The sequence below is a fragment of the Homo sapiens genome, chromosome 11 (assembly GCF_000001405.40).
Source record: "Homo sapiens chromosome 11, GRCh38.p14 Primary Assembly".
In the NCBI taxonomy this organism is placed as follows: domain Eukaryota; kingdom Metazoa; phylum Chordata; class Mammalia; order Primates; family Hominidae; genus Homo; species Homo sapiens.
Window position 1 is genome coordinate 19,866,030 of NC_000011.10, and position 14,493 is coordinate 19,880,522.

At 44.6% G+C, this 14,493-nt stretch overlaps 1 protein-coding gene across 46 annotated transcripts in view; it reads left to right on the forward strand.

The window, feature by feature from the left end:
• Window positions 1–14,493, forward strand: part of NAV2 (neuron navigator 2) — a 776,366-nt gene that overhangs the window by 520,794 nt on the left and 241,079 nt on the right. For all 46 annotated transcript variants that reach the window (XM_017018520.3, XM_047427824.1, XM_017018522.2 and 43 more), the window contains 2 exons: window positions 2,896–2,968; window positions 13,840–14,098. In XM_017018520.3, the coding sequence (XP_016874009.1) occupies window positions 2,896–2,968; window positions 13,840–14,098 (332 nt within the window). The remainder of the gene's footprint in view (window positions 1–2,895; window positions 2,969–13,839; window positions 14,099–14,493) is intronic.

Below are 14,493 nucleotides of genomic sequence, written 5' to 3' on the forward strand. Positions count from 1 at the left end.
AATCTGACTTCCTTACCTCACTTTCTGTATCACGTAATACTTGCTAAAACCAACACCATCCAAAGAATTGAGTGCCATGCTGGCACAGAGCAGACATCTACACAATGATGTTGACTGAATGAATGCTTGAAATAATCCTATAACTCAGGGCTTCTCAATCTCAGCACTGTTGATGTTTTGGACTGGACAGTTCTTTGTTGTGAGAAGCTGTACTGTGCATTGTAGGATGTTTAGCTACATCTTGGCCTCTATCCATAAGATGCGAGTAGTACCCTGCTCCCATTGTGACAGCCCCAAACGCTGCCAGACATTGACAAATTGGTCCCTCACCTCCACCCTCCATCCCTAGCCAGTGGAGAACTACTGATCAAAATTATAAAATTCTGGGAAAAAAATGACAGGACTTTAAAAAGTTAACAAAGAAGAAGTATTCGGGTAACTTATTTATAATTATTCATTCTTTTAATAGAATCGGACATTAAAAGAAAGTCCAGCAGATGGCTGAATTGAAATGTATCAAGGCTAGCCTTGCAAACAGACACTATCATGTACTTTAAATGATGCTGTATGTGTTGAATGTTCCATAAATATAAGTAATGTACTTTATGCTTCTTGGAATGTGAGTTCTATAGAAATAGTGTTGTAGTAGAGCAGTGCTTTTCTTGAATATGTTGGTGGTTGTCTTTATTTTTTTCTTCAGTGCCATATTGCTGGACTATTGCTGAAAAATCTTAACCTACCTCGTCAGCCCACCTCCGTGACACTTCCCAGAATAAATATCGAGTGTACTATTTTTGATTTTGCAATAAGAGATTCCGGGATGGTGAGCTTTTTCTTTTTCTCACTTTCCATGGGGACATAATTGCCAAAGCCTCACTCACCAGCCATGTGCAAGATATTATATAAAAGAAGTAGGAGAGAATGATAGGAAAAGGCAAGCAGTAGAAGAGAGATTTTATAATTTTATTATTATTTAAATACTAGTGTCTCTTTTGGGGGGCAACAAGTCCTTTTGAGTGGATTTGGTATATTACCACTGTGTACAAAAGTAGAAATAAGGACTGATAGTTAACATTTGTTCTCAAAAGCAGGGTTTCATGGTATGGTGAGGTGGCATTTAGAGACACAACTGTTATTGCACTTACAAATGGGAGCAGATTGCTCCAAGACATCACACACAGGGTACTCCCAGCCAGTATTGTGTTTACTTTCCCCTCCCTCATTCCCTCTAAGCCAATAGCACCTGGTTGTCTGCATTTATGTAAATGCAGGCTCCTGTGTATAACAGGGAAGAGGACCTCCTGGTTTCTCACCCAGCTCTGCCATTGACATTGACCTGTGTAATCTTGGTCAGAAATCTGACCTCCTTACTTCACTTTCTCTATCACATAATATTTGCTAAAACCAACACCATCAAAAGTGGTCATCCACGGGGCTGGACAGAGGACAGGAAAGATGAAAAGAAAACTCACCTTTCCTCCATGTGTATAAGAAAGGACTTTCTGCAATGATGAAAGGCATAACGCATAGCATCAACATTTAGTTTGCAGCAAATTGCATTCTGCACCTTTTTCTAGAGATGAGAAAATGTCTTCCAGATGAGGACCTTGAAGTGTGAGATGGAGGTTGGAAAGGAGATGGGAACCTATGCTAAAAATGCAAGGATGGAGTAACTTCAAGCTCAGGGTTGAGTAGAGTGTATATTATGGGTGCAGTTTTATTCAGGTATCCCATAGCTTAATTTAAAGCACTTGGAAGATGTGAAGACTGGGAGTAGATAAGTCATAAAATGCCAAATGTCAATAGGTGGGTGGATGTGAACTTTGGGAAGACTGCCTTGGAGCTAGACGCTACTCAAATTAGAGCTCCTAAGTGTAGACACTTTACATTTTCTGTGGCTGTGAAGGAGCATTGGGAAATTGCTTGGAGTTGAAGAAACGAGAAGGGTCACATGTATACTGTGGAAGGCAATCATTTATTAGTTCAAAATAAATTCCATGGGTTAAATACTGATTTGAGTTCATAGGAATGTTGACGGAACCTGGGAAGTAATGAGGGGTGGGGTGATTGTGGAGGGGAATGAGTGGGGTCCCCATTGTGAAATGCAAATTGTGTGAAATTCAAAGACCTCTGTGCCAAGTCTAAAGCAATTTCTTTTACTTATGGTACCCGTTGACATTAATCAAGCCAGAACATTTTCCTTTAAACCAAAAAACAATTAGCCCTGACAACTGAAGTAAAATTAGCTTCTTGGGAATGACCTAATTGTTCTTTTGGGAAGGCTGGACACTGGCTTGCCCTTGGCTGTGGTGTCAGCCCTGGCAAACCTGGCAGATCTCACAGACTCTCGTGGGTCCTTTCTTGCCACAGAAAGCACAAAGGACAGAGGGGTTCAGGAGGTCACAGCCCTCCCCAGTCATTTGCAATGCCTGCCATCCGGAGAATTTTGTGAGTAAATGCTACCCAGATTCCTGCGAAAACTCCCATTCACTGTTGGTACATTTGACTGCCTGCCTCTTTGGTGGCTGGAAATTTCTCCCAGCTGCTGGTAGATGGGTGTGTCCACTAACCCTTTCCCCACCTCCATTTTTCTGGCAACTGCTCAAGTTTTCAGGATTGCACTGGTGGTGACAGTGATCAAGATGAGAGCTCCCATTCCACCCTGGTTATTTTTGGCGGCTGTGAGCAATGCAAGACCTCAACTTTTGGCACTATGTGGTTGGGATATTAGGTAACCTTTTTCCTGTGCAAGTACAGACAAAAGAGAGTGTCCTATCTTGGCGTTCGTTCATCGGCCGTTTTTACAGCATTCTGTTTTCCCATTGTTCCTCATAAGAGATGGCTCTGGAGAGGCTGAACATTTATTAAGTATATATTGTTGTTTTTCCCTCCTAGATTGAAAACATAGATGCCTGCTTGAATTTCCTGGCAGCTAAGGGAATAAACATCCAGGGGCTGTCTGCAGAAGGTGAGTCAGAGCGCTTGTCACGAAGCTGCCTCTTCATCATTAGAAATGCCCACCTGTTACTTATGAATGATATTAACACCATTATGACAAGGGATGCTTGTGGGCTCCTCTGGTTTTGTTTTCCTTTATGTTGCTCAGTGGTTGCCTAGACTTGAGGATGCCAAGGACTCACTCCAAGAATGTGGATTCAACCATACCAGCCACCTCTGCAAGACCCTGAGAGGGTAGTGAAGGGGAAGCTGTCCTATTTGAGAAAGACTTGCTTAAACAATGCTGATTTGATTCACCTGTCTAGTAATTCAGTTAATTATCAAGTCAGGCCTCATCTATGGGAGAGAGCATGCTTCACCACAGAGCATATTTCAGCTGTACAGTTCCCGGGGAAAAATGCTTAATCCTTATCTCTTTTATTCGAGGAAGCAGCACTTTTTCTTGCTCTTAAAAAAGCATGTGATTTATTAATGCAATGCTGTATTTTTACATTGTGATTAGTTTTTAATTAAATTTGGTGGCTAATTAGCACATGAGTGTTCACCAGTGTTTTGCTATTAAATTAGTTATTGGTCTGGAGATGGCTGGTTCGAATTCTCAGCCACCTCAGACAACAAGTCAGCCTGAAACTTTCACGCTCTCTCCTGTTTGTAAATACAAGCAGCTGCCAGCTCAGAGCTGCCATAGGCCCAGGCATCCTCCCAAGCTCATTAGGCTGCACCTGCCTCCAGTTTTCCCAGAACAGGTAAAGCAGTTTGGGCTTCAGATGATAGCACCTTTCCCTAGTGAGACTGCTTTTTGAAAGGAGGCCTGTTAGCATGGACTCTGGTGGTCAGAGTGGGGCAGAGAAGAACAATGAGGAAGGAAACAGCCAAATTGAGCAGGTAAGTTTGCAAGCATGATGGATTCCATCTGGGACCTGTTCCTTGCCTTTGCTCTGCTACACGGTGAAAGCTTGGTTTTCCTGGCTGCGTTTCTGAGTGGTAGTCTCTCCTGGTATTGGGGGTGGGTGGTATAAATGACCACTATTAATGCCTCGTGGATGTATTGCGTCTCTGAGTGGGACTGTAGGAATTCCTCAGTTAATAACTCTGATGTGCTGGACCTGTTCCCAGTCAGGCACGGCCACACTGCTTCCAGAGTTCGCAGAAGCAGTTGTCGTGTGGTCAGTCCTAATCCCAGAAGATTCCCCAGCCCTGGGGTACGGACCCTCATCCATGGGGATAAGATCAGGGCTGGCTGACATGTGGAATATGCTTTGCTGGGGGGCGGGGGTTTGCTGGGAGTAGGAAGATGCAAATTCCCATTCAGAGGAGCACATGATTTCCTCCTGGTAGAGAGTTCTTGTGCTGGCTGGTAGGTGGCAGGGCATACTCGTCCTAGTTTCTGGGAGTGCTTGAACTCCTGGGACAGGCCTGTGTCCCCCAGCAGAGCACCAGCAGGGACTTTTACAGAGGTGTGTTTGGCAGCAAGTGGCAGCAGGGCCTCTTGGGTATGCAGACTCTGCAGGCCTGCTTCATCCTGCCTGGCTGGTAGTGACCCCTGGCTACTCAGCCATCTACCCATTGGCCTGACTTCTGCCTCATTTGTTCTCCCCATCTGTCCCATCCTCTCTGTACCCCAAGGCATAGAGAATCTATGCAATAAGTATTTGTTGAAAGAACAAGTACCAATTGTACTTTGCAGGATTTTATCTGTATTGGCTTCAGTTCTCACAACTAAAGTTGGAGTTTATAACAGCCTCAGTTTATAGATGAAGAAACTTTGGTTTAAAGAGGTTATGAGCGGCATCCCTGAAGCATGTAGCTAGAGAGTGGCAGAGCCAGGATTTACACCCAGTTCTGTGTGATTTCAGAGCTCATGATTATGGCGTCTTCTGGGATAGAGGTGGATAAAATCTAGGTATGCCATATAAAGGTAAAAGAAATGAGGTTTAAACTCTTTGTCACCTGGAGCATTGCTTCAGAAGATGTTATAGCCCATGGAGGCACATCATGCAGAAAGACACTCAGCTGTCTGCCCCTTTTTGACATTGAGATGACCCTTGGAGGCTCTGAGCATGGAAGAGCATACCATAGCCAGTGTGCTGTGGTATCAAGCCATTGTGGTACAACCATGAAGGAGTTTTGTGGTATTTCAATAACTGCCTTAACTGTGCTATGTTGAACCCCCATCCTTCCTGCTGGGTCAAGACTCACTTAATGATATTTTGGCCAGGATATATAACTCTGTAGTCATCTTCAAGTTGTTACAATTACTTGATGCCCATATTTATGACTCAGTGACGGTCATTTTTAAACTTCAATCTCAGACTCTACTCAAAGCTCTTTACCCTCATTCCTTCCAGTGTAAATGGCTTTAGGAGTTTGAAGAGAGATGGGGGCATGCCGGCGTGACTTTCTCTCCTTTCCCCTTCCCATGTTCTTGTGCCAGAGCCCCCAGGATTGAGGCAGCACAGAGGAAGCAGAGTTCTGCTGCTGGGGAAGGTGCTGTCCTCAGTATACATCACTGCCACTGTCTCAGCTGGTAGTCTCAGCAGGCCCTGCTGACCAGGACTTACTCCCATGTAGCTCCCGGGGCACTAGTGGTCTTCTGTGAGACTTGGCCAGATCTTTCACCTCAGTCTTATGATCCCTCCGGTACCTACCATAGGACTAGCAGGAACGTGTGGGCTCCATTTTCCACTTGCAGTGGGTGGAACTGCAAGGCCTCCTGTCACCTGGCAGCGGTCCCCCACCAGACAGTCTCTCTCCGGTTCTTTTCCTCATTCAGGTGGCCAAGAGGCAGATCAGCCGGGTCTCTGCTAAGCGGATGTCCAATTTGGGACTGGAATGCCAGGCCCTCCTTCTTGCCAGCACCCCCACTTTGAGCGATTCTTAGAGCTACCACTCCCTTGACTTCAAGGGGCCCAAGGACTCTGCTGCCTTGCCTCCTTGGTGAGGGGAGGAAAATATCCTTTCTCCATGATCATCAAACATTGTCTCCCCAAAATGACATTCTGTCATCTAGATCTTCTTATATTTTTTGGAGGTTGGGGAGTGATGAAGATATGAGTGTTAAAAATGTGAACTGCTGCATTCCTTTGGGAAAGTGGCCCCAACGTCTGCCACATTCTCAAACTTACAAAAAGCAAGGGTACTTACAGCCTTTAATCCTCAAATTTGGCCTTATTCATAATTTCAGGGTACAGGCAATATCTCACTTGACATCATGTTACATTACAGGGATAGATTTATTGAGAACTTACCACATGTCAGTCACTGAGCTAAGTGCTGTGCATATTTATATCTTATTTAGTACCCCCAGCAACCTTATGGGGTCAGTATTAGTATTATCCCCCTCATGCAGATGAGCAAACCAAGGCCCAAAGAGATTAAGCTACACATTATAAAAAGGAGGCCCACAAGATCAGCAGTGGCTAAACTACCCACATCTGCTGATTCAAAGGCCTGGTGTGTGCTACTGCACATTACTGCCTATGTTTCTATCCACCTGCATAACTACTAGCAAAGCAGTGTGGTGTATTAAAAAGTAATGCAGATTTAATGCTTTTTGTTCTCCTTTTGAAGATGACTGAGTGCCCTGAGGCTCCTTCTCTGATGAAGAAAACATCAGCAGTTGGAAGGCCCCATAGATACATCTCCACCCTTTCCCAGTCTAAAGCTGGGTTTGCACTCAGGAGGGTGTATGCACCTGTCCTCAAAGCATTTCAGCAGCTCAGGCCTGCCCCGACCCGCCTGCTGGAGAGCCACAGGGAGCCTTTGTTCTAGGGCACAGACGGCGGATGCTTGGGGGCAGAGGCTGCAGGCCTGAGTGAGCCCCATGGAGGTGCTGCTGGTTTGGGGAACTTCCCTGGACTAGGCCTCCCTGCCCTGTCAGTTTTCCTGAAGATTGAACCCATCTATTTGCTCTTGGAGATGTGCCAGAGTCCTGTGAGCTTGGGCCTCCCTTTGCCCTGGGGTGGTGTTCAAGATCCCCCACCAACCCTTCCCCAGAACACACCACCTGTCACAGCCATCTGTAAAACTGCCCCTGTGAGGAAGGATGGCCTTTATTTCTGGCCATTTTGAGAACACCTGGGGTTTGTGCTATCTGGCCCTGAGCCCATCCTCCTGCAATGGAGAAATGGAGGTTGGGGAGTAAGGCATATTCTATCTAGTTCAGCAAATGTTTCCTGGGCACATCCTGTATGCCAGGCCCAGTGCTAGGCACTAGGGTACACCAGTGATCAAGCCAGTCATATTAAACTAACCTTGATTCCAGTTAATAAGACAGAGCTGTGTTAGTGGTAAGCACAGGATCCGGTGGTGACCAAAGACAGGCAAATCAACTTTTGCTGGGGCTCTCAGTGGGGCTACACAGAAGTGGGACATTTCCCCCCAGATTTCATGGGATGAATAGACATTTGCCAGACAGAAAAGGAAGGTGAAAGGAAATCTAGACAGAAGATCAGGCATAGGTAATATTAATATGATGGGGGGAAACCTTGCAGACATTGGATAAACAAAAGTAGGAACATCCTTCCAGGTGGAAGGAGTGTATGCTTTGAAGTGAAACCACTTGCTGATTTGATTAGCTTAGTCCTGGGTTTGCTGCCCTGATGGCCAGAGAGATCTAGGTACTGAGTTTTCTCCTCCTTTCATCCCAAGCTAGAAAGCAGGAGGTCTTTCTGGACCCGTACGGTGAAAGCAGCAGGTGGAACATTTCCATTTCCTCCTACCTATATTACCTGAGTATGGCATTGACTGAGACCTTCAGTTTCTGTTTCTTAGCAGAAGGGTCCCCATAGGCTCTGCTCCCATCCTCTCATCCCACTTCTCCTGTGGGTAGAGTGATTGGCAGACTTGGAGAGCAGCAAGAACACAGAGGGCTGTTGAGTGGAGGGGCAAGTTAAGTGGTGAATGCTGATTATGCAGCCGGCCCAACTGCAGGGACAATGCTGCAGAATCCACAGTCCTTAATCAGCTGGGTAAACCTCACACAACCATGGCTCAAAGGAATTGAATAGGAGTTCTGCAGCTCTGTGGTTTGCACAGCCCTCCCTTTGGCTTTGAATCCCTTATACCCTACAAAGCAGGTTTCTTTGTATTAGATTATTTCAGCACTTGTGCCATGTAAACCAAGCCTGAAGTTTCTCTTTAAAAATGTTGAAAGAAAATAACTCCTATTTATCTTACTCTTCATGCCTGACATTACCCACAGCATCTATGCAGATTAGGACCAGCCAGTGGGAAGAAAGCGATTAGTCAGAACCCAAAGAAAGTGGAGTCAAGGCAATACTAATTCAAATAGAAATTGGAATATGAGAATATGGCCCATGCAATTTGCTTTTCTGTTGCCACAAGAGTGGCCACAGGAAGAGAAAGAACAGGGCTCCAGGTTGGGTTTAGCCACAACTGGCTAGTGTCTCCTCAGGCAAGTCAGTTCTCTCTACATCTACATGTTTTTCCTTCTCTAGAACTCCAGAAAGTGAGGTTAATCAGATACAAAATAGTAACTCCTTTTCCAAAGCCTTGGGGAATGTCATGAGGGAAACATTCTTGTGGGGCTTTGGGGTTTTTTTTAGGCTTCCTGTGGAGCTGGCTTACCAAGCCTCATGGAACACAGACAAATACCATTTGGAAATATGGAAAGAATATAATTCTAGCTATTTTAGATACTGTCTGCTATAGACCACCCATGGTAGAAACTGTGTGGCTGTCAGCACATTCAGCACTCTTGAGTTTTTGTAATCTGAAAAGAAAATTAAACAGTTATAATGTCCATCAATTGGTGAATGGATAAACAAAATATGGTGTATCTATATGATGGGAATGTAAAAACTGACAAATGCTCTAACATCGATGAACCTTAAAACAGTATGTTAAGTAAAAGAAGCCAGTTGCAGACTGGGCACAATGGCTCACGCCTTTAATCCCAGCACTTTGGGAGGCCGAGGTGGGTGGATCACCTGAGGTCGAGAGTTCAAGACCAGCCTGGCCAATGTGGTGAAATCCCATCTCTACTGAAAACAACAAAATTAGCCGGGCGTGGTGGCATGCACCTATAATCCCAGCTACTCAGGAGGCTGACTCAGGAGAATCACTTGAATCCAGGAGGCAGAGGTTGCAGTGAGCTGGGATTGTGCCACTGCACTCCAGCCTGGATGACAAAGTGAGACTCTGTCTCAAAACGAACAAAACTAGATGCAAAAATCTATATACAGATGCTCCTCAACTTACTGTAGGGTTATGTCCTGATAAACCCACCATAAGTTGAAAATAAATGCATTTAATACATCTAACCTACTGAACATCATAGCTCAGCCTAACCTACCTTAAATGTGCTCAGAACACTTACATTAGCCTATAGTTGGGCAAAATCATCCAACACACAGCCTGTGTTATAATAAGGTGTTGAATATTATATGTAATTTATTGAATACCATACCAAAAGTGAAAAACAGAATGGCTGTATGGGTACTTGAAGTACAGTTTCTACTGAATGCCTATTGCTTGCACACCATAGTGAAGGTGAAAAATTGTAAGTAAAACCATCACAAGTTGGGGACCATCTGTATTGCATGATTCTATTTATGCGAAATATCCAGAAAAGGCAAATCTGTAGAAACAGAAAGCAGATTAGTGGTTGCCTGGGAGTGGGTTTGGGGATTGATTGTAAATGAGCACAAGGAATCTTTTTAGGATGATAGAAATATTTTAAATCTAGAATTTGCTAAATTTACTAAATATCATTAGATTGTATACTTAATTTTATGAAATTATAACTCAGTAAAACTGTTTTTAAAACCAGAAAGATTACCATTGAGTTTTCTCTAATGTTAGATCATTCGTGGTTTTCCTTTCTGGACACCAGCGACTGTGGCACACAGGGGATGAGCAGAGAGAATGGACCACTTCTTAGGCTTCCTTTGGGTGAAGAGCTCTGTGGTGGGTTCTGAGGAGGCTGCAGGTAGAATGGCCACATTTTCTCAGCCAAAAAAGGGAAGTACAGAGTCGGGAAGTATCCTAGGTGCACTCAGTTTCTTATGTATTTATTTATTTATTATTTATTTAGAGATGGAGTCTTGCTCTGTTGACCAGGCTGGAGTGCAGTGTCGTGATCTCGGCTCACTGCAACCTCCATCTCCCGGGTTCAAGCGATTCTCCTGCCTCAGCCTCCCAAGTAGGTGGGACTACAGGCACGTGCCACCACATCTGGCTAATTTTTTTGTATTTTTAGTAGAGACGGTGTTTCACCATGTGAGCCAGGCTGGTTTCAATCTCTTGACCTTGTGATCTGCCTGCCTCGGCCTCCCAAAGTGCTGGGATTACAGGAGTTTACCACCATGCCCGGCCTCATTTTCTCATTTAATCTTCAATTAACTTTCATAACAATCCTACAGGAAAGGTACAGTAGGACATATGCCCATTTTAAAGAAGAAAACTGAGGCTCAGAGAGATTGAATCCTGTAAAATCTCAAAGTGTATAAACGATGGACTGTAGAGATTTAACCACAAGATTTTCTGGCTCCAAAAAATGAGAGCTGTTTGTTATAAAAATGCTGCCTCCTAAGAGGAAATATATTTATTGGAGGAGCACTGTAGTCTCTGACAAATGAAAAAAATGGTTTAGGGAACAATGGCCATTCTGATCAATAAATGACTAAATGACAATGGTAGGTAGAGAATACAACAGGACTGATGCTGTTTGCACTGGGATTGGGCTGGTAGGTTATGGAGGGAGCTGATGTGAACGTGCCTACTTTTTACAGTGGATGACCCCTGATCCTCCAGGTATGCTGAATTGTTAGTTCCTCTCCTGTTTTTTCTTGCATGGTTAAAAAAAAAAATGCATCACAGAATATTTGACATCCCAGAAAAATAAAGAATACTCAAATGCCTACCAGCTAGGATTTTACTTATTTATTTATTTATTTTATAAAATAAACATTAAATATATTTATATATATTTATATATTTATTTATCAATAAAAAATATTTATTTATTTAAATAAAGAATACTCAAATGCCTACCAGCTAGCATTTATTTTATTTATTAAAATAAAACATGATGGCTATACAAGTAAGTCAAGTTACACAGTGTTAGGAAACTGGACCCTGAGTCGGAAAACCTAGATTCAAATCCCAGCTCCAGTGTTTATGACCTTGGACAAGTCATAAAACCTTTCTGAGCTTCTGTTTCCCCTTATGTGAAAGAGGGATAATCCTACTCACTTCCCATATTGTAAGGATTAAATGAGATCATGCATATAAAGAGCTTAGCCTGATACACACTGGTTAATAATAGCTCTTATTGTTATAAACTATATGACTTGATAACTGTAAAAGGCACTAAAAGTAAATCTTACATAGATTTCATCTATCCCCATAATTAGCAGTACTTTCTCCCTCCAGTGAATTCAGTTTTGAGGGGAAATTGTTTTCTTAACTTTAATAGACACTAACTAGCATGTCAGACCTTGCTTGGCTTATCTTCATTCTTTTTTTTTTTTTTTTTTTTGAGACAGAGTCTTGCTCTGTTGCCCAGGCTGGAGTGCAGTGGCGTGATCTTGGCTCACTGCAAGCTCCGCCTCCCGGGTTCATGCCATTCTCCTGCCTCAGCCTCCTGAGTAGCTGGGACCACACGCGCCCGCCACCACGCCCGGCTAATTTTTTGTGTTTTTAGTAGAGATGGGGTTTCACCGTGTTAGCCAGGATGGTCTCAATCTCCTGACCTCGTGATCCACCCACCTCGGCCTCCCAAAGTGCTGGGATTACAGGCGTGAGCCACCGTGCCTGGCCGGCTTATCTTGATTCTGTCCCTAGCTCTTGTCACTGCCCAGTTGGGTGACTATAGATATGTCACTTCACCTTGTGGGCCTTTGTTTTCCCATAAGTAAAGTGAGTAGCCAGCTGAATTATTTCATCCAAGCCTCACACTCTGTGATTCTCATGTACCACTGAGAACATTTGGAAGCAGAAGTGGAACATGCTACAGGTGTGTGGCTCTCATTTGGTTTCCTTAGTGTGGGGAAGGAAGCATGGCTGAAGGATTAAAGCTGAATTACCAAAAGAGACTGAGGGGCTGGCCCACCCCTTGGACATTTCTCTGCTTCACACATCACACAGAGTGGTTTATAAGCAGTGACTTTGCATCCTGACTTGTCCACATCAGTCCTGGCTATCAACTGTGGTCCTGGTATAATTAAGAGCTCCCCACTCCCTGGCTTTCATTCTCAGAAGCGTCATAGTTAGCACAATAGGTTAAAAGGTCACCATAGTAAAAACTGTCATTTTTAAGGTATGAAGCTGGAGCTGTATGAGAATCTCATTCAGGATTCTGGGGCTATAGTCATATAATAACCAAGATGAATGAAGGACTTCACTGTTTAAAGTGTGCTTTTGCCTAAGTGCTCCCATTAGTTCTGCAAAACAACCTTGTGCAGTGGGGCAAAGCGGTGTCCGTATTGCCCTTTTACTGAGGCCCGGAGAGATTAAGTGACTTGCCTGGGGTTGCACAACTAAGAAGTGGTAAGAATACAGATTGGAACTCACGGCTTAGGTTTTCCAAATGCTATGCTCCTGTCTACTTTGTCCTGTGATCAGAATCTGCTAGCTCCCAAAGTAGGGTGTGAAGGCTGGATTCTAGAAGTTCGTATTGTCAGTTTCTTCAGAGCCTGGAGAAAGGGATGCTCCAAGGGAAATAATTCAGCCTGACCTAATCAGCAAATCACACTGGGGGGAAGGCACTGGCAGGGCGCACTTCCTCCTCTGCGTGGAAAGGAGCTTGCTTCTGAAAGGACTCCATTCATACTTTCTGCCCCCCAACTAAGCCTTGGAGGAAACTCTTGTTCCTTCACTAGCAGCCTCTTTCCCAGCCCGGGGCTAACCTGTAAGTGTGCATTACCTACCCCTCTAACAAGGCCTTTGAAGCTTTCTTGCTTCACGTCTGCCTTTTCCCCCTTGCCAGTTAAGAAAAACCCATCCTAGGATGACAGGAAAGCAGAGAGTGTTGAGTAAGTTTGCCCCCAAGGTTCCCTTTCCTCTGTCCCTCACGCTCAGTAGCCCCAGAACTTCACTCTCAGGATCTGCTCAGACTCTGGCCATCTGCATCTAGCGTTAACTGCATAGAAAGGAGGGATCTCCCAAGGAGAAGCCCCTCGTGAGCCATAGCCTTTGCCTGTGAATAAATATTTTATTCTCCTCTGCAACTCTTTATGCATACTTTGAGGCAAATGCATTTTAACATTGAAAAATACTGTCTGGAATAAAAACAAAAATTTGTTCCCACTCTGTTCTAATTTCTTTTAATGTAGGGAATATTTTGTATGAGTCCATTATGGAAGCAAGTCCTTCTAGCCTACCCTATACCCACCCCAAATTAGAGTTATCTGTTCAGCAGATGGGGGACACAGAGCCACGTATTTGAGAGTAGGACGACTGGGGAAAGCAGAGCGCAGATCATGGAGTGGGACAGCAGCCACTTGGCACACTCACTGTGGCTTGAAGCTTAGAACATGGACTTGGCAGAAGCCAAGTGCACTGTGAAGACCCATGAGCTTCCCCCAGTGCCAGAGTTCCTCCATCCCCTGCCTGTAGAACAAGCACGGTCTTGCTCGAGACGCTTGCTTTTTCATTGGTGTCCTTACTGAGAATTTCCTCTTGGCACCTACCAGACATCCAGTTGCACTTGCCTCCTGTATCCACTCCAATCCTAATGGCGAGAATAAGCTAATTTCTTTGTGGTATAGGCCTGATTTTAATTGCCTGTGATACCAATGAAGTGTTCAGGAAGCCTGTCATATCCTAAAGAAATCAAACTCACGTGCCGACTGAAACAGCCCATTGAACAGGAAGAAGAGCTCCCCATCTGACAAGAGTCTCTTTATTGTCTTGCAGAGATCAGGAATGGAAACCTCAAGGCCATTCTAGGCCTCTTCTTCAGCCTCTCCCGATACAAGCAGCAGCAGCAGCAGCCCCAGAAGCAGCACCTCTCCTCACCTCTGCCGCCCGCCGTATCCCAGGTGGCCGGGGCCCCCTCCCAGTGCCAGGCTGGCACCCCTCAGCAGCAGGTGCCAGTCACTCCCCAAGCCCCGTGCCAGCCTCACCAGCCAGCGCCACATCAGCAGTCAAAAGCACAAGCTGAAATGCAGTCCAGGTGGGGGCTCCTTGCCAACTGATGGTTCTGTTTTTCAGGCACCTTCCTCCACCCCAACCAATCTCTAGGCTATCCTGTATGGCTTTTTCATTTGTGCTTCTTCAATGCTGAGAGCTACTGGTGGTTAGTGGGAAATTAGCATGGCCTTGAAATGCATGCAGTGAGGAGCCCTTCTTGTGTCTGGCAGAGATGTATACTTTTATAGGTCAGAATTGCCAGCAGCCAAAGCTAATTACCTGCTCCTGCTATTACTCCGGCCTATTACACACATGCTCGTAGACAATAAACAGCCCCTAAAATAGACTTCAAACACCTTTTGTGTGTCTCCCTACAAGCTGAATGTTCACTGTTATAAATGAGAGTAGTTTTACTTAGTGGAGGTAAAAGTTCTATTC